The following is a 26516-nucleotide window of genomic DNA, read 5'->3' as shown; positions in this document are numbered from 1 at the left end:
AAAAACAAATAACCCCAGTAAAAAGTGGGCAAGGGACATGAACAGATACTTAAAAGAAGACATACAAGCAACCAACAAATGTGAAAAAATGCTCAACACAATAATTAGACAAATGCAAATCAAAACCATTCTGACACCAGTCAGATGGCTATTATTAAAAAGTTGCAAAACAACAGATGATAAGGCTATGGAGAAAAGGGAATGCTTACACTCTGTTGATGGGAATGAATTAGTTCAGCCACTGTGGAAAGCAGTTTGGAGATTTCTCAAATAACTTAAAACAGAATTACCATTCAACCCAGCAATACCATTACTAGGTATATATCCAAAAGAAAATAAATTGGTCTGCCAAATAGACATGCACTCCTATGTTCATCACAGCACTATTGACAATAGCAAAGTCATAGAATCAACTGAGGAGCTCATTCACAGTGGATTGGATAAAGAAAATGTGGTACATCAATACCATGGACTACTATGCAGCCATAAAAAAGAATGAACTCATATCCTTTGCAGCAACATGGATGCAGCTAGAGGCCATTATCCTAAGTGAATTAATGCAGAAACAGAAAACCAAATACCTCATGTTCTCACTTATAGCTGGTAGTTAAATAATCGGTACACGTGGCCATAAAGGTGGCATTATTAGACACAGGGGACTATGAGAAGGGAGAGGAAGGGTGGGGGGTAAGGGCTGAAAAACTACCTATTGAGTACTATGCTCACTACCTGGGTGACAGGATCAATCATACCGCAAATCTCAGCATCATGTAACATATCCATGTAACAAACCTGCAAATATACCTCCTGAATGCAAAATAGAAGTTGAAATTTTTAAACTACCTACTTATAAATTACATGTTAATTAATTTATAAGGAACAGAAGGAACAGCAGTAACTATACAGAAGAGAAAAACACCTTAACCAAATGATTAAAATTAGTATCATTAATAAAGGTCCAACAGACTATGTGCCTCTGGGTATCATATCCCCAATAGAACATAACTACTTATGTTGTAATCCAGCCAAGAATGGATAAGCTCATTCTAATCATAAGGAAAAAGTAAAGAAACACAAATTAAGGGACATTCTATAAGAATTCTAGCTAGTTTTCTTTAGAAATATCAATCTTATGCAAGAAAAAGACTGAAAACTGTTCAAAGTTTAAAGTGGCTGACAACCACATGCAAACACAATCCTGAATTGGACCCAGTACCAAAGAAACAAAATTTGTAGTAAGGGACATTATTTAAACTTTTGACAAAACTGGAATATGAATTATAGGTGAAAGTATCGTATCAATTTAAATATCTTTAATTGACAACTGAACTATGATCATATAAGAGAACATTTTAGTTCTTAAGAATGACACTGAAGCAGTAAGAAATGAAGGACCATAATGTATGCAACCTCTCAAGTGGTTAAAAAATGTATGTGTGTTTAGGGAAAGGGAGAGAATTATAAGGCAAATGTGGCAAAATGTTGAAAATAATGAATCTAGGAAACATCATATGGGAATTCTTTGAACTGTCCGTATAATTTTTCTGAAAGTTTGAAATTATTTCAAAATAAACAAATTTAAATTATTTTTTTAAGATTAAATATTAATATGTGAAAATTTTCACAAAAAATTGAACACAGCAAGCCTGACAAAATATGATTAGTACAAGTGCTTTGAACAGTGACAAGAGGTTTGTACCAGAAAGTAGCTTATTATACTGCTTTCTTCATCAAAAAAAGTCTTGCTCTTAAAAAATAACTCAGCTATCCTAAACTCTGCTTAGTGACATTCTGGTACAACCTAGTAACAGTTAATATACCAGCACTATACTTTGAGTAGCGCTAGTCTAAATACCATCTATTTGTAATCAATCAATCAATAACTACTTTAAGAATTATACATATGCATTTGGAATAATATACACCAAGTTATAACCAGTTTATGCTGGGTAACACAACTGAAGGTAATTTTTATTCTCTTCTTGTATTTTCTTATTCTTATTCCTTTTTTTTTTTTTTTTGACAGAGTTTTGCTCTGTCAGCCAGAGTGGAGTGCTGTGGCTCAATCAGGGCCCACTGCAGCCTTGACCTCCTGGACTCAAGTGATCCTCTTGCCTCAGCCTCCTGAGTAGCTGGGACTATAGACATATGCCACCATGCCTAGCTAATATTTTGTATTTTTAGTAGAGATGGGGTTTTGCCATGTCACCCAGGCTGGTCTCTAACTCCTGGGCCCAAGCAATCTGCCCAACTCAGCCTCCCCAGTGGGGGGATTACAGATATGAGCCACTGCACCAGGCCTCTTCTTGTATTTTTTTAAGTTTCTGCAATTAACATGGATTACTTCTGTAATAACAAGAACATAAGTAAACTTTCAAAAAAGTGTAGGTGAAAAAGAATTTAACAGGCAATAAGATTTCTTGGAATTTGCCTCCTGTATCAAAACACGACATTTTGTCTTAATGTTTACATGCTACCAACATTTTTCTAAAAGGCTTGTACTTACAGCTGATCTTGAAGCTCCACAATTATATATTCTAATTGTTCCTTCTCCAGTTTATGAGCCAGATCGGAATCTTCAATCCTTTGAAGTAGTATTTTATTCTGGGAGACAGATTCAGATAGTTGGTTCTCTCGAAGTCGTAAGAGTTCTTCAAGGTAACCCTGGAAATCCAGTATCATCAAGATATAGAAACTGCAAAATTCTAATACATATCCTGAAGATAAATGCTGAGTAGCTTAAATGCTATTCCTATTTATATTGTAATGAAACAATTTCAAAGCATTACTGATAAATTAGTAAAAAATTTGTCTTAATTGAATATAAAAATTTAACATATATTCTCCATTATTTAAAACTCTTCTCTAAAGTTTGAGAAACTGTAATTTGAGGCAAAACTTAGTTAAAACATTGTAATTTCTAAGCTTCACAACAATTGCATGACTCCTAGCTTCAAAATACAGCCCTAAAAACAGAATGACCAATTAGAAAGTTGCTTCTTTGTGATTATTTTTCAAAAACACATAGACATTAACATTTTAGCATTAATATGTTAGTGAGAGGTAGTATAATTTTGGTTAGGCCTGCTGGCCTAGTGTCATATTCCAGTTTTACCACTTATCAGCTATGTGTCCTTGGGCAAGTTACTTAAGCTCTCTGTGCCACAGTTTCACCATCTAAAAAAGCAGGACCCATCAGAGTATCCTAGTTGGTAGGATTAAATGAATCAATACAGATAAATTGCTTAGAATGGTGTCTGGTACACTGCATGCAATGTATAATTACTAGCTATTATTATTAGTAAACACGTAATAGATATAAGACTTCTTGGAATAATCTCTTAACCTTTTACTCTTTACTTTCTCTTTGTCCTTCTGCCCTGCTTTCTGGGAAAACTTATTGAATTTATCCTCAAACCCTTTGTACTAAATTTCTGAATTCAGGAAATCATATATTTAATTTTCAAAATCTTTCCTGTTTTCTGATTGTTCTCTTCCCATGGCATTCTATTCTTTTTAGTTGCAGTTTACTTTCAAATTCCTCTAAGGATTATTAATTAGAATCTTTTTAAAGTATTCTTCTATTACATGTTATCCTATTCATGTGTCATTAATAAACTTTCACCTATTTTAGATTTATGATACATGTTAAGAGTAGGTAATACTATTCTTCAAGAACTTATTTTTTATATTTTTTTCTGATAATTCTCAAATGTTTGCTCTTCTATAATAAAATCTCAGAAGTTAAAGTTAATTTTTATAAATGAATATTTCATATATATACAGCTTAATATAAACAATATATATTCATAAACATTAGTAATTAAAGAATACTCACATATCCACCACCTAGATTAATCACCAATACTTTAAAAGTCAATATAATGCCTTCCTTGATTGCTCCTCTTCAAAGGTAACAATATCCTAGATTTGTGTTTATTATCTCTTTACTTTTCTTTCCAGTTTTACTACAAATATGTGTCATCTTAAACAATACGTTGTTTAGTTTTGCTTGGTTTTGTCAATATCCTTTTGAAAATGTTTTGTCTATATTGATGAGCCTAGCTATAGTTCATTTGCTCTAAAAACTGTATAGTATTCCATTGTATGAATATTGCAGTTTATTCACTCTTCTGTCACTGTTCTCTCAATGACCATTTGGATCACTTTAGGTTTTTCTTAATATAAACAATATTGCTGTGAACACACTCTGTTATGTCTCCTGGTATGCACATCCAAGAGTTTCGAGGAGATATATCTAGGAGTAGAATTCCTAGGATATAGGCCATGCATATCTTCACATTTACTAGATACTGCTACTGATATTGCCATTGTAGTAATTGTTCTTACTATTGGTTTTATACTAATCACATTCCCACTTGATATTATATTCACATGATCTTATGTTAGTATAAGAGTTATACTGTGGTTCATTAAATTCATTGAAAACTATTCCTTCTTTTTCTATTCTCAGGAACAGTCCATATATAGGGATCACTCCTACAGTTGTGTGCCACTTAATGATGGGGATATGTTCTGAGAAATGTGTTGCTAAGCAATTTTGCCATTCTATGAACACTACAGAGTGTACTTACACCAACCTATGAACATTACAGAGTCTACTACACAACTAGGCTAGATGGTATAGCCTATTGTTCCTAGGCTACAAACCTGTACAGCATGTTACTATACTGGGTACTGTAGGCAATTGTAATACAATAGCAAGTATTTATATATCTAAACATAGAAAAGGGACAGTAAAAATATGGTATAAAAGATTTTTTTTAAAAAAGGCACAACTATGTAGGCCATTACTGTGAAATGGAACTTGCAGGACTGGAAATTGCTCAAAGTGAGTCAGTAAGTGGGTAGTTAGTGAATGTAAAGGCCTACAACTACTGTACACTACTGTAGACTTTATAAACACTGTACGCCTAGGCTATACTAAATTTATTTTTATAAGTTTTCTTTCTTCAGTAATAAAATTAACGTTAGCTTACTATAACATTTTTACTTTACAAATTTTTAAAAATCTTTTTGACTCTTTTGTAATAACAGTTTAAAACATACATTGTACAGCTATACAAAAACATTTTCTTTTTAACATCCTTATTCTATAAGCTTTTTTTCTATTGAAACATTTTAAAAACTTTTTAACTTTTTAAACTTTTCTGTTAAAAACGAAGTCACAAACACACACATTAGCCTAGGCCTACAACACAGGGTCAGGATCATCAATATCACTGTCTTCCACCTCCACCTCTTGTCTGACTGCAAGGACTTCAGGAGCATTAACACATGGAGCTGTCATCTCCCATGATAACAATGCCCACTGCTGGACTACCTCCTAAAAGACCTGCCTGAAGCTGTTTAACATTTAACTTTTTTGTTTTTTAAGTAGAAGGAGTACATTTAAAAATAATGACTAAAAAGTACTGTATAGTAAATACGTAAACCAGTAACATAGTATTTTATTATCATTATCAAGTATTGTATACTTTCCATAATTGTATATGCTAGTTTTAAATGACTGGCAGGGCAATAGGTTTATTTACACTAGCATTATCACAAACACATGAGTAATGCACTGTGTTACAACATCATCACGGCTACATCACTAAGTGATAGGAATTTTTCATCTCCATTATAATCTTATGAGACCACCTCATATACATGGCCCATTGTTGGCCAAAACATTATTATGTAGTGCATGACTATATTTGGTAGAGTCACCAAAACAATACATAATAGTTTTTTTTGGCGGGGGATTGGAAAGATTTTAAACTACTTTTTCAATTTGTTAAATGGCTATATATCAGTTTTGATAAGTAGTATTTATAAAAATTCTTTGTTTTGCAAGGTATTATAAAATTATTAAAATATTCTCTAATAATTATTGGGAGAGTTTCTCCCACATTTATGTTGTGCTGTCTATTCTTCCATTCTTAAGATTATCTGTGCCTTAATTTTTTAAAAAAATTATTCTTGCTAGAATTTATTTCATTAATTTTTGCAAATAATTATCTCTTGGTTTTGTTAATTCTGTTTCTTTTTTACTTCACCAATATCTATTATTTTATTACTTTCCTTCTTTTTGAACTGGTTTGGTTGTTCTTTCACTACTTCTTGGATACTTATCTCTTTAATTTTCATTGTTTCTTTTCTAAATATCTAAGTATTTCTACAAGTACTATACAAGTTGTGTGGCAACTTACAACGTTAATATGCATTATTTTCATTCTCATTCATTTTAAAGTATTCTATTTCCTCAATTTTTTTGACCTATAATTTAGACAATTTTTTCTTTAATTTCATGAGTGGCATGTGGGTGGTGCTAAACTGTTTGTATTGATATCTAACTTTACTGCACTATTCACATGACCTTACATTAGTATAAAAGTTATACTAAAATGATAATATTGTATCATTTCTTTGGTATTTGTGGACATTTGTTTTGTGACCTAGTGTGCTCCATAAAAAGATTGGCCGGGTGCGGTGGCTCATGCCTATAATACCAGCACTTTGGGAGGCCGAGTTGGGCAGATCACTTGAGGTCAGGAGTTAGAGACCAGCCTAGCCAACGTCGTGAAACCCCGTCTCTACTAAAAATACAAAAATTGGCCAGGTGTGGTGTCACATGCCTGTAGTCCTAGGTACTCGGAAGGCTGAGGCAGGAGAATCACTTGAACCCAGGAGGTGGAGGTTTCAGTGAGCCAAGATCGCGCCACTGCACTCCAGCCTGGGTGACAAAGCGAGACTCCATCTCAAAACAAAACAAAACAAAACAAAACAAAACAAAACAAGACAAGACAAAAACAAAACAAACCAAACAAAAATAACTCCACTATAGCTGTTCCATATATGCTTGAAAAGGTTATATGTTCTAATTGTTAACATTTAATATATTTTAGATCAGGTTTATTAATTGTGTTAATCGAAGTTCACTATATCCGTTCAATCTATAAATTACTCTGAAAGACATTAAAATTTCTCATTATAATTATGGAATTACCAATTTATTCTGGACATTTAATTAATTTTTGCTTCATATTTTTCATGGATATATTGTTAAATATATGTAAGTCCAGCACTGATATATATTCTTTGTGAATGCTTACTTTTTTTTTTTTTTTTTTTTTGAGACGGAGTCTCGCTCTGTTGCCCAGGCTGGAGTGCAGTGGCGCGATCTCCGCTCACTGCAAGCTCCGCCTCGCGGGTTCATGCCATTCTCCTGCCTCAGCTTCCCGAGTAGCTGGGACTACAGGTGCCCGCCACCATGCCCGGCTAATTTTTTGTATTTTTAGTAGAGACAGAGTTTCACTGTGTTATCCAGGATGGTCTCCAACTCCTGACCTCGTGATCCGCCCGCCTCGGCCTCCCAAAGTGCTGGGATTACAGGCGTGAGTCGCCAGGCCCGGCTGGTGAATGCTTACTTTTTAAAAAAAGCAATGTCTTTCTTTAGTCTTAATAATGCTTTCTGCCTTAATGTCTATGTTTAATGATATTGACATAAAATTCTTTTAGTTAGTATCTATCTAGTATATTTATCCCCCTAGTTTCAACTTTTTATGTCATTATGTGTTATGTGTCTCTCTTATCAATAGCATACAGCTAAATTTTATAATTATTTTTCAAAAAATCTAAGAGTTTATCTTAACTGGCAAGTTTCTGCCATTTACTTTTATGGTGGTGTTGACTCTTCTGGTTATATGTAATTTGCATTTTGCGTTCTCTTTTCACTATCTTTATTTTTTCTAATGTGCTCCCTTCTATTATATCGATCAAGCTTTCCTTATTTCTTTTCTTTCCCTCTACTGGTTTGAAAATTAAACATTCTACTTCTATTCTCTTAATTGCAACTTCTAAATGTTAATTTTGGAAACAGGCACACACATTAAAAAATGTCTCTAACCACCTTCACTATATTACAAAGACCTCAAAAGACTAGCTCAAAAGACTAGTCAAAATTCATCACTTTCTAATTATTTCATCATATTTTAACTATTATCTATGTTCTTATGGTCATTTACATCTATTTCATCTATCTTAGTAGAAATACTATGTAATAGTGTTCTACTGTGCATCTCTGACTCTTTCTGATATTTTTAGTCAGTGTTTTAGTTCTGCTCTGCTTTCATACTCTCAGTGGTGGCCTGTAGCTGGCTTGTATAGGCTCTCGAGAACTGATTGTTAAATTTCAGAAATTTAAGTCAGTTGTTAAACATTGCTGTTATTAAACATTAAATTATATAAATTTACAACTAAGTAAATTATATTAAACAAAAAGGTAATAACTGCTCAAAATTCATCACTTTCTAATTATTTCACCGTATTTTAACTATTATCTATGTTCTTACAGTCATTTACATCTATTTCATCTATCTTAGTAGAAATACTATGGAATGCTGTTCTACTGTGCACCTCTTCCCAATTTTGCATTCAGTGATGTCATATTGGTAGCTTTAAATTGGCCATGATGGCAGTATTTATCACAGAAAAATTGGCAAACACTACAAATGAGGGCTTCTGTCTCCATCTCCTCTAAAAGAGCCAGTTAAACATATTTCAGTGTACCAATGTCACCCCATATTGGTCATTATTTTTGCTATTGCATGTAATCAAGCTTTCTCTACAAATTTATTTGTTTACTCTGCCATTTTGCACCTCACTCCTACATTCTAGGTTCAATTTCCACCTTGAATGACAGGGACCTATACCTGCTGTTTCCCTGTTGGTGTTAAAATGCAAGTTTCTAGGTTAAGGAATTATGCCTTCACCCCCATCCCTGGGGCCTACAGTTCTCTAATATATGCACATATTCTTCTTGTGTTAGGTGTATGTTTCTGATCCCTAGGGAGTTCCTTTTCTTGAGAGAGTAGCTCTGAATGAATCTTTTAAAAAATTGTATTCTACTCAGCATTTTCATATTTTTGCAATGTAGATACTTTCAGATTATCTTAGTCTGAATTCTTGCTGGTACCACAAGTCTTTAATAGCGCATGAAAAGTTTTCTTCATATGCATTATGCAAATGTTTATAGCTATGTAATTTGGATTTAAAAATATTTTCTAAGCAATAGCTATCTGTATAGATAAAATTATTTATATTTATAAAATTATGACAATTTCCCCACTGCATTTTTAATTTTTTGAATATTTCTATCACTAATTCCATTGGGCTTTCCTTATATATATATATCATCTATGAATAATGATATTAAAAGAAGACAAAAAGAGAAAAATAGAAAATACAGTAAAAAAGTAATGGCTACAAACTCCTTAAAATAATAGAGTTTGTTTTCTTTCTGTTATATACTCCACTTTGCCTACTACAGTGCTTAACACACAAGAGCTGCTAAAATATCTAATTTTCAAAAAATCAGATGTACGTGCTTAGGCAATCACTGCATTTTCACAAACCAATCATCTTTTATAAAATTTATCATAGAAACTAAAATCTCAAATACATAAATTAAGCTGCTTATTAAAATAATGGCTTGTTTTTATGTTAAAACATAAAATTGGAAAAAGTTCAACAAACAAAAGTATCTTCTACAGTTGCCTGATTTTTCATTAAGAGGAGGACAATTCAAAAACAGAAGAGAAGCAGCAATGGATAAATAATTTTATTCAGTTAAAAAATATTTTGGCAGTCACAGTTCAAAGGCAATAACTAGAATAAAATTAAGTACGTTTTGATAATTTTAAAATACCTTCTGTTCCAGGGTAAGCTGATACTTTTGTTTAACTCTCTTACACTTGTTGAACCAACTGTTCTCATCCATGAGGAAAGGAGGTCCGACATTCTCTGGAGTACTGCTTTCGCTACCACTGCTTCCCAAAGTCCTTAGCTCCTCCTCATCACTGCTGATACTATCAGAACTGGGAAGATCAAAATTTTAAAAAAAAGTTAAAAATATGTTCCAACTTGATTCTTAAACACTTTTACATTTGCAAGCTACGGTGAACAAATTCGAAAATATTTAGTACTAAATACAAAATTATAATGATATTATAAAGATTTAAGCTTCCTGAAAAAAAAATGGCAAGTTAGCATGGGCTGCTGACTCCCTCTCGGAAACCAACCCTAGAGATACTACAGAAGTTCAAGTGGGTTTACAGATATAAGGTATTAAGATATAAACCAAGAATGCCCAAAAGAGAGAGAAAAGATTTCCAGAGAAGAGAAACAGAAACTCTAGATGCGCTGGAAACAGCCTTCTAACTGGGTTCCTTTCACTGCCCGAGGTGGATTGCTGCCTGCTCAATCTTCAATACAAGGCAGACAACAGCAGTTCCAGCTAATAACAGTGGGGTATAATACAGGGTAGTGTGTCAAGATCAGCTCAGCTTTAGCAAAGAGAAGATAACAACAGGTTCAGAAGATCCAGTCACTCCTAAGCATTTCCTACTGAGGGGAACAAGGACAAGCAGAGGTAGAGCAGAGAGAACATCTATCACAATCCATATCTAAAATTCCTCAGGATATGACTATAGAACAGAAGCAGAGCATAAGGTGAAAAAAATGGTAGAAGAGAAACTCAATAGAGATAAAAATGTGCTAAGATGATGGTCCAATTTAGAAGAAAAATATTGGTGTTAATTCATGGACACAGGGAGGGGAACATCACACACCGCGGCCTGTTGGCAGTGGGGAGCAAGGGAAGGGAGAGCATTAGGACAAATACCTAATGCATGCAGGGCTTAAAACCTAGATAATGGGTTGATGGGTGCAGCAAACCACCATGGCACATGTATAACTATGTAACAAACCTGCACGTTCTGCACATGTATCCCAGAACTTAAAGTATAATAAAAAAAAAGAAGAAAAATACTGGTGTTAATATACTTAAAAATAAACATGGAAAAATAAAATTTTAAATATGAGCAATTATATTAAAAAATAAGTAGAAGCATAAAAATAGTCTGTATTACCTTGAGAGTATTCAAAGAAACCACAATCTGTCAAATGCAGGAGCAAACAAAACAAAACAAAACAAAAAACAACCAAACCTGCCAAAGAAAATTCAAAACAAAAAAGGAGATGGCAGAAATAAACCCTAGTACAAAAGTAATCACACACAATTTAAATGAGTTAAACTCAATAGCCAAACCCCAGATGTTCAGGTCCAGTTAAGACAATTATATAAGGGGCTGGGCATATTAGCTCATTCCTGTAATACCAGCCCTTTGGGAGGCCAAGGTGGGCGGATCACTTGAGGCCAGAAGTTCAAGACCAGCTTGGGCAACATGGTGAAAACCTGTCTCTACTAAAAATACAAAAAAAAAAAAAAAATAGCTGGGCGTGGTGGCACATGCCTGTAATCCCAGCTACATGGGAGGCTGAGGCATAAGAATCATTTGAACCCAGGAGGTAGAGGTTGCAGTAAGCTGAGATTGTGCCACTGCACTCCAGCCTGGGTGACAGAGAGACTCCGTCTCAAAAAAAAGGAGTGGTGGTGGTTGGACAATAATGAGTGATCTATAAAATACACATGGTTTTTCTAAATATTTGGGATTTCTGATTCTATCATAATTGAAAAAAAAAAAAGAGTTCATTCAACTTTTTCCCAAGATGGCTGACTAGATACATCAGATGCCAGTTCTCCTCAGAAAGCAGATCAAATTTATAGATGAATAATCATAGCCTGAGTGGAAAGTTGAGATAAGAGTGTTGAAACCTGTTGGAGACCATGCAGGAAACAGCTGGGAGGCAGAAAAGGAAGGCAGCAAGAGCCTGGGAGAGACTGACCATTAAGGAACTTGGAGTCCCATAGAAAGGGTAGGTAGGGGCATTTCTTTGCACCCCTCACCAATGTGACAAACTGCTGAGAAGTGAATTGTCAGAGAGCCCCTCTGCCCCTGCAAACCTGGGCAATTCTGCCAATAGTAATCTGGAAACATCCTGTGGGCAGAGCACCAGGTGGTCAGCTTGTGCAGCTGGGCTCACATTGCCCCCAAACCTGAGCTGAAGCAGTGGGTGCGATACTCGTTGTGCAGATTCAGGGAATCTCAGCCCTTGTGTCACTGCATCACCAGATTCCCCACAAACATTTCTCAGAGTCTTCTCTGAATCTGCAACCAGAGGGGACCATCAGGACCCTGGGGAGCTGCAGGATCCCTGGAGATCTAGTCCTCGGTGTGGGCCACTCCTAGGGGAGGGAGAGGTGCAGCCCACCAAAGCACTCACTGGGACAAAGGAACCAGATTGCAACTTCTCTCCTGCCTGAGAACCCCACATTTGTGACAAGATGGGTGACTGTGCCCTTCTCCTGTGCCCTGACCTACTACTGCAGATGCAGCGAAGGCTTTTCCTACTAGAGGTTGACACAGGCACACTTGGAGACAGTACTATTCTCCACTAAAAGTGTGCCTATCACCTGGGCTTAAATAAAGGGTATGACTCACCTCCCTCTCCCTACACAGAGTGGCAACATTCCTGCAATAGAGTACAGATCGCCAGCAGAGTTGTTTGTTTTCGGCTGGGTGAAAAGTTTTCTCCCTTGGGTTATTTTGTTGGTAGTAGACAGACAGGCATTTTCCACAAACCTCAGTTGCATTGTGGCCTAGAGATAAAGATAGTGTCTATCTAAACTGAAAGTTGCAAGCCCTGTGACAAGGGTGTGACAGGGAAGCTGATTGCATTCCTACCTGCCTAGGACAAGGAGCTGATGCAGTCCTCTCAACTCCCATCCCCAGAGACCTCAGTGCATCCTATCATGAACTACCCCCGCCATATGTTGGGGCTGGTGCTACCACTTGTCATCAGCATACCCCAGGGAAAGCTGGCTCTTACTCTGAAGTGCAACTTACTGAACTGGAGATTGAACTGCATCACCAAATAAAGAAATCTGAGGATAGAAGGGCATAGTGCTAGGTTATGAGATAAGTGCCCTGGGACCTACACACTCTCAGCCTTGCAGAAGATAGTGAGTTGGATCATATGACCAATACATTGCTACGACAAGTAGCATTTGAGAAAGCCACTGCAAAAAAAGCTATCTATAACCAAGGACTCATACAGAGTCTTGGCTTCCTGAAAGCAACTAGAAATGAAGCCAAATGATCTTAGACAATATACCTAACAGTCACATCCTTAAGGGAGCTTCCTCAGATTAGAAGGAATTAGTGTAAGAACTCTGGCAGCACAAAAGGATAGAGTGTTTTGACATCTCCAAAGGATTACACTAGTTCTCTAGGAATAGATCCTAACCAAAATGAAAATTCTGTTATGACAAATAAAGAATTCAAAATGTAGATTATAAGGAAGTTAAATGAGATCTAAGAGAAGGTTGGGAAACAACACAAAGAGATCAGAAAAACAATTCAGGACCTGAAAGATGAGTTAGGTAGATATTTTTAAAAACCAAACAGAACTTGAAGAAATGAAAAATTCGCTGAAGGAATTTCAAAATACATTTGAAAGCTTTAACAGTATAAAAGACCAAGCAAAAGAAAGAATTTCAGAGCTTGAAGATTGATTTTTCTAATTAACACAGTCAGAAAAAAAGAAAAAAAATTAAAAATCAACAAAGCCTTCAAGAAACATTAGATTATGTAAAGCAACCAAACCTACAACTTTTGGCTATTCTTGAGAGAGAAGATGAAAAAGTAAAATGTTTGGAAAAAATATTTGAGGGAATAATTCAGGAAAATTTTCCTGATCTTGCTAGAGATATAGCCATTCAGATACAAGAAATTCAGAGAACACCTGAAAGATACTATACAAAATCAACACCACCAAGGCATATGATCATCAGACTATCCAAGGTCAACGTGAAAGAAAAGAAATTTCCTAAAGGAAAAGAAATAAAAGAATTTCCTATAAAGGAAATTCTATCAGATTAACAACAGACTTCTCAGAAGAAACCTTATGAGCCAGAAGAGACTGGGGGTCTTTTTTCAGCCTTCTTAGAGAAAAAAACACTAGCCAAGAATTTTATATACTGCCAAACTAAGCTTCATCAATGAAGAAGAAATAAAGTCCTTCCCCAGACAAGCAAGCACTAAGGGAATTAATCACGATTAGACTAGTCCTACAAGAAATGATCAAAGGAGCTCTAAACATAAAAAAAGGACGATACTCACCATCATAAATGCATACATACGTCCAAAGCTCAGACAGCCGATAAAGCAATTACACAATTGAGATTACAAAGCAACTAGTTATCAACACTGTGACAGGAACAGAACCTCACATGGCCTCACAAAGATATAGGCTGACAAGCTGGATTAAAAACAAGACCCAACCATCTTCGAAGACCCACCTAACAGGTAAATACACTTACAGACTCAAAATGGAAGAGTTTGAAAAAGATGTATCATGCAACAGGAAAACAAAACGATCAAGAGTAGCTATTCTTATATCATACAAAACAGACTTTAAATCAACAACAGTGAAAAAGACAAGGAAGGTCATTATATAATGATAAAGGGTTTGATTCAACAAGAAGATTTAACTGTTCTAAATATATATGCATCCAACACTGGAGCACCCAGATTCATAAAACAAATACTACTAGACATAAGAAATGATATAGGGTAATACAATAATAGTGAGGGAATTCAACACTCTACTAATAGCACTAGACAGATTACTGAGGCAGAAAATAAAAAAAAAATACTCTGGACTTAAATTAGACTCTAGAGCAAATGGACCTAATAGATATTTACAGAACATGCTACCCAATAACCACAGAATATATATTTTTCTCACCTGTGCAGAGAACATTCTCCAAAACTGACCATATGGTTGGTCATAAAGCAAGTCTCAATAAATTTTTAAAAACTGAAATCATATCAAATATCTTCTCAGACCACAGTGGAATAAAATTAGAAATCAATACCATGAAGAACCATCAAAATTACACAAGTATGTAGAAACTAAACAACTTGCTCCTGGAAGACATTTGGGTAAACAAAATAAGGCAGAAATCCAACATTCTTTTTGAAACAAATGAAAAGAGACATAATATACCAAAACCTCTGGGATATGGCAAAAACAGGGCTAAGAGGAAAGTTTATAGCACTAAATGCCAACATCAAAAAGATAGAAAGATCTCAAATTAGCAACCAAATGTTACACTTCAAGGAACTAGAAAAACGAGGACAAACCATACTCAAAAGTAGCAGAAGACAGAAATAACAAACATCAGAGCAGAACTGAATGAAACTGAGACAAAAAAAAATCAACCCAAAGGATCAGTTAAATGAAAAGTTGGTTTTTTGAAAGGTTAAAAAAATTAATAGACCACTAGCTATATTAACAATGGAAAAAACAAGAGAAAATTAAAATAAGCACAATCAGAAATAACGGTTACATTACAGCTGATATTGCAGAAATACAAAAGATTATCAAAGATTTTTATGAGCCTCTTTATGTGCACAAACTAGAAAACCTAGAAAAAAAATTTCTGAAACCTACACTTCCCAAGATTGAACCAGGAAGAAACAGAAATCCTGAACAGACCAATAAAAAGTAATTAAAATGAACCAGTAATTAAAAAAAATCTCCCAACAAAAAAGAGCATAGGACCAGATGAATTGGGATTTCCTACCCAAAGGAAAATTAATCGTTGTATCAAAAAGACACTCTCCCTTGTATGTTTATCACAGCACTATTCACAATAGCAAATGTATCAAATCAACCTAAGTATTCATCAATAAAATACTGAATAAAGAAAATGTGGTGTATATATACATGGTGGAATACCATTTAGCCATAAAGAAGAATGAAATTAATTGTGTCCTGTTTCAGCAACATGAATGGACCTGGAAGCCAATTATCCTAAGTGAGATAGCTCAGAAACAGAAAATCAAATACTACATATTCTCACATGGGTAAACATGGACATAAAGATGGAAATAATAAACACTAGGGACTCTAAAAGTGGGGAGACTGAGGAGGGGACAAAGGTCATATAATTACCTATTGGGTACAATGTTCACTATTTGAGATGGTTACACTAGAAGCCCAAAGCTCACCATTAAGCAATATATCCAACTAACAAACCTGTACATGTACCTGCCTCAGTCTAATATTTTTTCAAAAGAGCTCATTCAAGAATAAAGATATTTATTTGAGACTTAAAGTTAATTAAGCTAATAAAGCTATTGATTTGATACTTTAAATTAAATAAGCATGTTAAATTACCAAAATAGTAAAAGACTAGACCCAGTATAACTGTCAACTCAGAAGACTGAAAATGAATGTAAGGAGCAAGTCTTACACATGTCTTACCACAGATACTATGAAGTCCTTCAAAAAATATCAGTTTGGTCTTTAAATTTACATAAAGTAATCTTTGACTATTGTCTTTGTTGAATGTTGCTTAAATTAAATGTGCTAATAAAATTTTTTACACTTAAAAAGGACACAAATAAATACCAAACAGGTAAAACTGAAGAGAGAGAAAATACCAGAAAGACATGAACTAAAGAAATCAAGGTCAGAAATTATAATTTCATAGATGTAATGTTGAAAAATATCATAAACACAAAGACAGACATTATATATTTCATCCTCTGTGATCTGTGTTTTCATCTGTTGGGCTCCTGACTATGGCATCTACGCATGTTGCAAATTTGAAACAGATACCTCTGCCAAAAGAAAAGTCTGACCAACAAGATGTTCTTAGTCAGGGATCTAGAAAACAAACCAATAAACAAACAAATAGCAAAGAATATTTGCCTGTCATACCATGGTTTTGGATAAAACAGAAAAAAATTAATGGCTGATAATAAAGTTCCAGCTTTGAAAACAGCCAAACAGAACTTTAAAAATTAAATGTATTTCACAATAAAAATAAATGGATTGCCTAAAAATCAGATACAATTGAAGAAAGAACTTGTAAAATGGAAGATAGACAGAAAAAAGTGTAATATTTATTAAATATTTTCAAAATACTAAAAAACCCCTGTCATACAAGGACACATATCCAGCAAAATTATCTTCCTAAAAAGAGGATGAGATAAGCATATTTTCAGAAAACTAAAACGTTAGAGATGTGCCAACAAATCCCCACTAAAACAACTTCTGATGGTTATAATATAAGAAAAAGTAAAATGACCTAATAAGGAAGGTTGTTTTGCAAGAAGGTACACAAAGAGAATGGTAAACTTATGGGTAAACCTAAACAAATATTGAGAGTATAAAACAGTAACAATTATGCCTACTTTAGAAATTTTTAAATAAATCAATGACAAATGTAAAATTCGGGACATCAAAAGCATATGTCAAAAAGGAAAAATTTAGAGGCAAAGCAATGCAAGATTCTCATTTACTTGGATGGGTGGTAAAGACATTAACCTTCAACTTTGTTAAATTTTAAATCTGCATATTAAAATTAATGGGGTATCATAGAAGAAAAGTTATGTGCATAACTTTTAAACTGGTAGAGGAATAAAATGAGGGAAAAGAGAAATTTGTAAAAGGCAAGAAAGAATAAAGGATATAAAAAGAAATGCAAAGTCATAGGATAAGTAGAAGGCAAAAAATGCAATAGTAGATATCATTCCAAATATATCAGTAAATATCTTAAGCACTTCAGTTAAAAGACAAAGCCTGCCGGAGTAGTTTTTTTTTAATTCCAGTTAAGTAACATTTTTAAACACATACTTAAAGACATAAGGACACAGAAAGGTTGAAAACAATGTATTTCATAAATTCTTGGTGTATATTTTTAATATATTGACATATCTGGAATCATAGTACAGCTTGTAATTGATGACATCTTACTATTGCTGTCATGCCATTTTCTTACATAATGTCTCTGAATTGAAATGCATTTACAATGGAAGGCATGATAGATTAGATGAAATACAGTTTTAAAAAGATAAGAATATACTAGAAAAATATTAAACAAAAGAAAACTGGTGGGAATCTTAATATCATACAAAATGGACTTACAGTTTACAAGGAGAAAATTATCCCCAAATTCTTGGGGAGAGGATGATGTCACCAATATACCATTGATTTTTCAAGCAGACAATACAAGAAAGGAAAATAAAGTCTATTTTATAGACTTTACTGAAATTCATACACATATAGATGTAAAATTCATACACATATGGATGTAAAAACTGTAAACAAAGCATTTAAAATGGAATACAACAAGGGATTAAGATAATATACTATTGTTCACAATAGGTTTATTCCAGAAAAACAAGGAGATGTAAGGGCCATAAAACATTTCTATTAATGTAATTTACCACATGAACAAGGAGAAAAACTATATGAATAATTTTAATAGATGCAGAAAAAGCATGTGATACATTTACAAGACTCATTAACGATTTAAAAACAAACAAGAAACCAATTATAAAAAGTACCCCATAGCACATTAAGAATAGAAGAAAACATTCTTAACCAGAGTATTCATAACTAAAAACAAAAACAAAATACCCCAGTAAAACCCAGAGCAAATACAATATTCAATGGTGAAACATCAAAAATATATTTTAAGATCAAGCCCCAAAACAAGAATGCCTAGAATTATCTTATTTATTCATTTGTATACTTGTATACACCTTTATGTCTGTTTCATAAACTGTTTATGTATAGTTAAAGAACTGGGAAATATATCATGTTAACAAAGAATGGTGGGAGAAATTCTGGTCTTCTTATAGTGATAAATTGCCATGCTCCCTTTTCCCCCAGGGCATAATAATCTGAAAACCAAAAAGAGAACAAGAAACAAAAACACAAAGTGTACTTTTGGGGAACTGAATCACAAAATATGTGGCTTTTGTGTTTGACGCCTTTCACCTATAATGGTTTCAAAGTTTATCCATGTTGTGGTAGGTATCAACGCTTCATCCCATTTTAAGGCTGAGTAATACTCCATTGTATGGATACATCACATTTTAAATTTATTCACCAACTGGTGAACACTTGCATTGTGTCCACTTTTGGCTATTAAGAATAATGAACATTCATGTAAAAGTTTCTGTTTGACCGCATGTTTTCAGTTATCTTGGGTGGAAAGAGAATTGATATCTAGGAGAAGAATTTCAGAATCATGTGGTAATTCTGTATTTAACTTAGAGAAATTATCAAACTTATTTCCACAGCAACTGCATCATTTTACATTTTCCCACCAGAAATGCAACTTCTCCACATCCTCACCAATACTTATTATGTTTTGTTGATTTTGGATATAGCTATCCTTGTGAGTATAAAGTGGTGTCTTACTGTGGTTTGAATTTGCATTTCCCTAATGACTAATGATGTTGAGTATCATTTCATGTGCTTCTGGGCCACTGTACATCTTCCTTGGAGAAATGTTTATTTAAGTCCTTAGCCCATTTTAAAATCGGGTTGTTTATATTTGTGTTGCCAAGTTGTAGCAGTTCTTTATGTATTCTAAATACTAGACCCTGATTTTGTGTATGATTTGCAAAAATTTTCTCCCAGTCTTTGGGTCACTCTTTCATTTTTTGATGGTATCTTTTGATAATGCAAGTTTTAAATTTTGATGAAGTCCAATTTATCTATTTTTTCTTTTGTTATTTACATTTTTGGTGTCATATTAAAAAACAATTGCCTAACTCAGGGTTATGAAAAATTTACACCTATGTTTCCTTATAAGATTTTATTGTGTTAGCTCTTACATGTGGGTCTTAGATCCATTTTTGAATTAATTTTTGCATTTCATATGAGGTTAAGGTCTAAATTCACTCATTTGCATGTGGATAGTCAGTTGTCCCAGCATCATTTAGTGAAAACACTATTCTTTATCCATTGAATGGTTTTGGTACCCTTTTCAAAACTCCACTGACCACAAATGTATGGGTTTATTTCCAGAATTTTAATTTAATTCTGTTGATTTGTATGTATATCCTTGTGCTAGCAGCATATTGTTTTGATTACTGGAGCTTTGTAGAAAATTCTGAAGTTAGGATGTATGAGTCCTCTGATTTTGTATTTCAAGATTGTTTTGGCTATTTAGAGTCCCTTGCAATTCCATACAAATTTTGGGATTAGCTTGTCCATTTCTACAAACAAAAAAGAATGTTGGAATATTGATAGCAACTGAATTGAATCTGCAGATCAATTCAGAAGTATTGCCATCTTAAGAATATGAAGTGTTTCAATTCATTAACAAGTATATCTTTTTATTTACTTACATCTTCTTCAATTTCCCTAAACAATGTAGCATCAATTTTTAAGTTTAAATTAATTAAAATTAAATTTAAATGAAAAATTCAGTTCCTCAGTCACACTAGTTATATCTGAAGTACTGAATGCCACATGTGGCTAATGGCTACTGTATTGGATAACACCAACTAAAGAACTAGGTATGTGTGGGCATTGTAGTTATAGTTATGGTAATTGATGTTATGAATCAGTAAGTGTGAATAGGCTAAAAACACCCATTAAGAAAAAAAAAAAACCCCTGTATCACAGAACAAAACCCAACTATAAACTGCACAAATGAAATACATCTAAAACCAAATTATTTATTTATAGTTTCTTTCAGAGCTTTGATGTAAAAAATTCAGCGATTTGAACTTTTAAATTTTTTAAATTTTTAATGGTTATGGGTACATAACAGGTGGGGTATATATTTATGGGGTACATATGATGTTTTGATACAGGCATTTAATATGTAATAATCACACAAGGGTAACTGAGGTATCTATCACCTCAAGGACTTTTTTTTTTTTTTGATACAGGATCTCACTCTGTTTCCCAGGCTAGAAAGCAAAGGCATGACCACAGCTCATGCCTCAAACTCCTGAGCTTAAGCAATCCCCTCCCCTTAGTCTCCCAAGTAGCTAGGACTACAGGAAAACACCACTACATCTGGCTAATTTTTAATTTTTTTTGTAGTCACAGAGTCTCACTATATTACTCAAGCTGGTCTTGAACTCCTGGCCTCAAGTGATCCCCCTGCCTCAGACTCCCAAAGTACTGGGATTATAGGCATGAGCCACCATGCCCAACCACATGTGTCATTTCTTTGTGTTAGGAACATTCCAATTCCACTCTTTTGGTAATTTTAAAATATACAATAAATTATTGTTGACTACAGTCACCCATTGGGCTATCAAATACTAGATCTTATTCATTCTAACTATGTTTTTATACCCATTAATCATCCCGACTTTTCTCCCTTCCCTTGCTACCCTTTCCAGGCTGTGCTAACCATCATTCTATTCTCTATCTTCATGAGCTTAACTATTTTAATTTTTAGCTCCCTCGTATGAGAATATGGGAAATTTGTCTTTCTATGCCTGGCTTATTTCACATAATATAATCTCCAGGCCCATCCATGTTGTTGCAGATGACAGGATTTCATTCTTTTTGTGGCTGAATAATATTCCATTGTGTATATATACCACATTTTATTTAGCCATTCATCCATCCATGGATACTTAGTATGATCCCACATCTTAGCTATTGTGAATAGTACTGCAATAAAGATGAGAGTGCAGACATCTCTTTCATATACTTACTGATTTCCTTTCTTTTAGATATATACCTAGCAGTGGAATTGCTGGATCATATGGTAGTTCTTTTTTAAGTGTTTTGAGAAACCTTCATACTGTTCTCCATAGTGGTTATACTAATTTACATTCCCACCAGCAGTGTAAAAGGGTTCCCCTTTCTCCATACCCTTGCCAGCATTCATTATTGCCTGTCTTTTGAATAAAGGACATTTTAACTAGAGTGAGATGATATCTCATTGTAGTTTTGATTTGCATTTCTCTGTTGATTAATGACGTTGTACACTTTTTCACGTACCTGTTAACCATTTGTATGTCTCCTCTTGAGAAATGTCCATTTAGATCTTTTGCACACTTTTTAATTGGATTATTTGATTTTTTTTCCTATTGAGTTGTTTGAACTCTTTACATATTCTGGTTATTAATCCCTTGTCAGATGAATAGCTTGCAAATATATTCTCCCACTCTGTGTGTTGTCTCTTCACTATGTTGACTGCTTCCTTTGCTGTGCAGAAGCTTTTCAACTTGATGGAATCCCATTTGTCCATTTTTGCTTTGGTTGCCTGTACTTTTGAGGTATTACTCAGGAAATCTTTGCTCAGGCCAATCAATGATCCACAGTTTTTGGTAGTATTTTCAGAGTTCCAGGTGTTCGGTTTTTGTTTGTTTGTTTGTTTTCTTTTGTTTTTTTGAGTCTGGGTTTTGCTTTGTTGCTCAGGCTGGAATGCAGTGGCACAATCATGACTCACTGCAGCCTTGAACTCCTGGGCTCAAGTGATTCTCCCACCTTGGCCTTCCAAGTAGCTGGGACTACAGGTGTGCAACACCATGTCCAGCTAAGTTTTTGAAAGATTTTTGTACAGACAGCATCTCACTGTGTTGCCTAGGCTGGTCTCAAACTCCTGACTTCAAAAGATCCTCCTGCCTTGGCTTCCAAATTGCTGAGATTAAAGGCATAAGCCACTGCAACTGGCCTCAAGTCTTAAATTTAAGTCTTTAATGCATTTTGATTTGGTTTTTGTATATGGTGAGAGATTGAGGTCTACTTTCATCCTTTTGCATACGAATATCCAGTTTTCCCAGCACCATTTATTGAAGAGAGTGTCCTTTCCCCAGTGCATATTCTTGACCTCTCTAGAAAATGAGTTTACTATAGATGCATGGATTTATTTCTGGATTTCTATTCTGTTCCATTGGTCTGTATGTCTATTTTTATGCTGGTGTCATGCTGCTTTGGTTACTATAGCTCTATAGTATTTGCAGGTGATTTGATTCTTCCAGTTTTGTTTCTTTTTGTTCATGATAGCTTTGGCTATTCTGGGTCTTTTGTGGTTCCACATAATTTTGTATAATTTTTTCTATTTCTGTGAAGAATGTCATTGGTATTTTGACAGCAAATACATTGGGTCTATAGATTGCTTGGTGTGATGGGACACTGAATTTTCCAATTAATGAAAATGAAATATCCTTCCTTTTTTTGGTATTCAATTTCTTTCATCAGTATTTTATAATTTTCATTGTAGAGATCTCTTACTTCTTTGGTTAATTCTTAGGTATTTAATTTTATTTGTGGCTATTGTAAATGGAATTGCTTTCCTTGTTTCTTTTTCATATTGTTCACTGTTGGCATATAGAAATGCTACTGATTTTCCTATGTTGATTTTGTATCCTGCAAATTTACTGAACTTGTTTATCAGTTCTAATAGTTTATTGGTGGATCTACTTTTCCATTTATAGAAAGTAAAAATCAAGCATAACTATAGTATATAGGAGGTAAGGTACATTCTTAGAGTAAAATAAAAAAACAATGAAGTCACTACCAAAAATGTATTATTACAGTAACTATGTCTCAGGAGCTCGTGGGGGGTTGTGATTTTGAAGTGATAAAAGCAGGCCTTTCACGGTGCTGACTATGTTTGCTTTATCTATACTTAGAGTGGTGATTACTCAGTATACACTTCATAAATTTTTTATGCTATACATTTATATTTTATCTATTTTTCTTTGTGAGTTGTACTTCACAATAATAATAGGTTTAAAAGATCTAAACAGGACATCCAGTTAGAATTTTTGACAAAGCTCAGTGTCATGGTCTGGGGATTGGAGGTGAGACCATGAGGAGGGAGAGGGTATTATCTAATTATTATGATTTCTTCAAACAGTGCATATTCCACATAACATATATAACATATTTCATCAATTCCAGGACAAAATCAAATAAAAGATGCACAATTACTTTATGCACCAAGAAAGGAAAAACAATGCTGACAAACTATGGCACAACATTATTTGTCAGAAATATTGAAATGTAAAACAAAGAAGTATATCTTAAAATTGATGGAATATGGTATATAGAAAATAATTATTACACTTCTCACTTATTCAGACTACTACTTTTTGAATATAAAAATTTTTCATATTTTAAGGGAGTATATATAAGTAAAATAAGCCATAACTTACCAATCTGGTTTAAATGTAGTCCAAAGGCCTATAATAATCTAAATGAATTTAGGTACCTTTTATCATTGAAATTATAAATATTTTGCTATATTGGACATGAAAAAATATTAGTAAGGTAAAAAACCTGACATCATCTTTATAGATAATGATTCACTTAGATTAATAAAAACTCAAATATATTCTAACTTTTTGGCCTTTTTTCCAAAATTAAATTTATATAAATAAAAATATCTTAACAGGACTTTCTATGAATAAAGAAAGATTAAAGCACTTGTTCTACATGATTCCCTAAAAACAATGCCCTAAATACTAGAAAGTGAGAGCTCAGTAGAAAACCAAGAAAGAAGTAAAAGGATATCATAAAATCAAGGACTTAATACTTAATTTGGTAAAACTTACAAATACCAAAATTCTCATTAAAAAAGAAATACATCTCAGGTGTTTAATATGTATGTAACTGACTAAATCTTTACAAGTTATAATCCTGCCCTGCCCTGCCCCGCATCCCAAAAAGGACTGTAAGTCTTAAAATGAAAAATAAGTCTCCTATCTCACTCTACCCTCCTCCAATTCCATTCTTACAGGACAATATTTTTTAAATTTTTTACTCTTCTTGTAAATTATCTCCATACCCTATCTTCCTATTTAGATGCCCTTTATTTCTTTCTCTTGCCTGATTGCTCTGGCTAGGACTTCCAATACGACTTTGAATAGAAGTGGTGAGAGAGAGCAACCTTGTCTTATGCCAGTTTTCAAGGGGAATACTTCCAGATTTTGCCCATTCAGTATAATGTTGGCTGTAGGTTTGTCATAGATGGCTCTTATTATTTTGAAGAATGTTCTTTCAATATGTAGTTTATTGAGAGTTTTTAATGCAAAGGCGTGTTGAATTTTATCAAAAGCTTTTTCTGTGTCTATTTAGATAATCATTGGTTTTTGTCTTTATTTATGTTTATGTGATGAATCACATTTATTGATTACGTATGTTGAACCAACCTTGCACTGATCATGGTGGATTAGCTTTTTGACGTGCTGCTGGATTCAGTTTGCCAGTATTTTGTTGAGGATTTTTGTAATAATGTTCATCAAGGATACTGGCCTGAAGCTTTCCTTTTTTGTTCTATCTCTGCCAGGTTTTGGTATCAGGATGATACTGGCCTCATAGAATAAGTTGGGGAGGAGTCTTTCCTCCTCAATATTTTGGAATAGTTTCATCAGAAATGGTATCAGCTGGCCAGGCATGGTGGCTCACACCTGTAATCCCAGGACTCTGGGAGGCCAAGGTAGGTGGATCACAAGGTCAGGAGTTTGAGACCAGCCTGGCCAACATGATGAAACCCCATATCTACTAATAATACAAAAATTAGCCAGGTGTGGTGGTGTGCACTTGTAGTCCCAGCTACTCGGGAGGCTGAGGCAGGAGAATCACTTGAACCCGGGAGGCAGAAGTTGCAGTGAGCCGAGATCATTGCACTGCACTCCAGCCTGGGTGACAGAGTGAGACTCTGTCTCAAAAAAAAAAAAAGAAATTGTATCAGCTATTCCTTGTATATCTGGTATAATTTGGCTGTGAATCCATCAGGTTCTGGGCTTTTTTTTTTTTTTTTTTGGTTGGTAAGCTATTTATTACTGATTCAATTTCAGAGCTCATTATTGTTCTGTTCAGGTAATCAATTTCTTCCTGCTTCAGTCTTGGGAAAGTGTGTGTGTCAAAGAATTTATCTATCTCCTGTAGGTTTTCTAGTTTGCCTGCATAGAGGTATTCATAGTTATTTTTGTTTCTGTGGGGTCTATGGTAACATCCCCTTTGTCATTTCTAATTGTGTTTATTGGGATCTTCTCTCTTTTCTTCTTTATTAGTCTAGCTTGGAACCTAACTATCTTATTTTTTCAAAAAACCAACTCCTGGATTCGTTGATGTTTTGAATTTTTTTGTGTGTGTCTTGATTTCCTTCAGTTTAGCTCTGATTTTGGTTATTGTCTTTTGCTAGCTTTGGGGTGCATTTGTTCTTGCTTCTTTAATTCTTTCCATTGTGATATTAGGTTGTTAATTTGAGATCTTTCCTACATTTTCATGTGGACATTTAGTGGTATGAACTTCCTTCTTAACAGTGCCTTAGCTCTGTCCCACAGATTCTGGTATGTTGTATCTTTGTTCTCATTGGTTTCAAAGAACTTCATGATTTCCATCTTAATTTCATTATTTACCCAAAAGTCAATCAGGAGCATGTTGTTTAATTCCTACATAATTTCATGGTTTTGAGTGATTTTCAGAGTCTTGACTTCTATTTTGGTTGTGCTGTGGTCCAAGAGTGTGTTTGGTATGATTTTGGTTCTTTTGCATTTGTTGAGGATTGTTTTATGTCCAATTATGTGGTCAGTTTCAGAGTATGTGCCATGTGGCGATGAGAAGAATGTATATTCTGTTATTTGGAGGTGGAAAGTTCAGTATCAGTACTGCACAAAGCCCTTTTCAGCACAAGCACCATTCTATAAAATCCCCAGCAAGACTCTTCTTCTTGCAGTCAGCTCCCCTCCCACTGACCTGCCTATTGCTTTCTTGGAATGTACTTTTATACCTTCTTTAATAAATGTGCCTTTATATAC

General features: G+C 34.2%; 1 protein-coding gene across 8 annotated transcripts in view; it reads right to left on the bottom strand.

Annotated features, from left to right (window-relative positions):
* The window catches only part of RUNDC3B (RUN domain containing 3B), a 203899-nt gene that overhangs the window by 51835 nt on the left and 125548 nt on the right, over positions 1-26516 (bottom strand). For all 8 annotated transcript variants that reach the window (NM_001394228.1, NM_138290.3, NM_001394224.1 and 5 more), the window contains 2 exons: positions 9713-9881; positions 2507-2664 (listed from right to left, as the gene is read on the bottom strand). In NM_001394228.1, the coding sequence (NP_001381157.1) occupies positions 2507-2664; positions 9713-9881 (327 nt within the window). The remainder of the gene's footprint in view (positions 1-2506; positions 2665-9712; positions 9882-26516) is intronic.

This window comes from Homo sapiens, chromosome 7 (genome assembly GCF_000001405.40).
Source record: "Homo sapiens chromosome 7, GRCh38.p14 Primary Assembly".
NCBI lineage: Eukaryota > Metazoa > Chordata > Mammalia > Primates > Hominidae > Homo > Homo sapiens.
The sequence above is the reverse complement of the archived record's forward strand: the minus strand, read 5'-3'. Positions and strand labels throughout refer to the sequence as shown.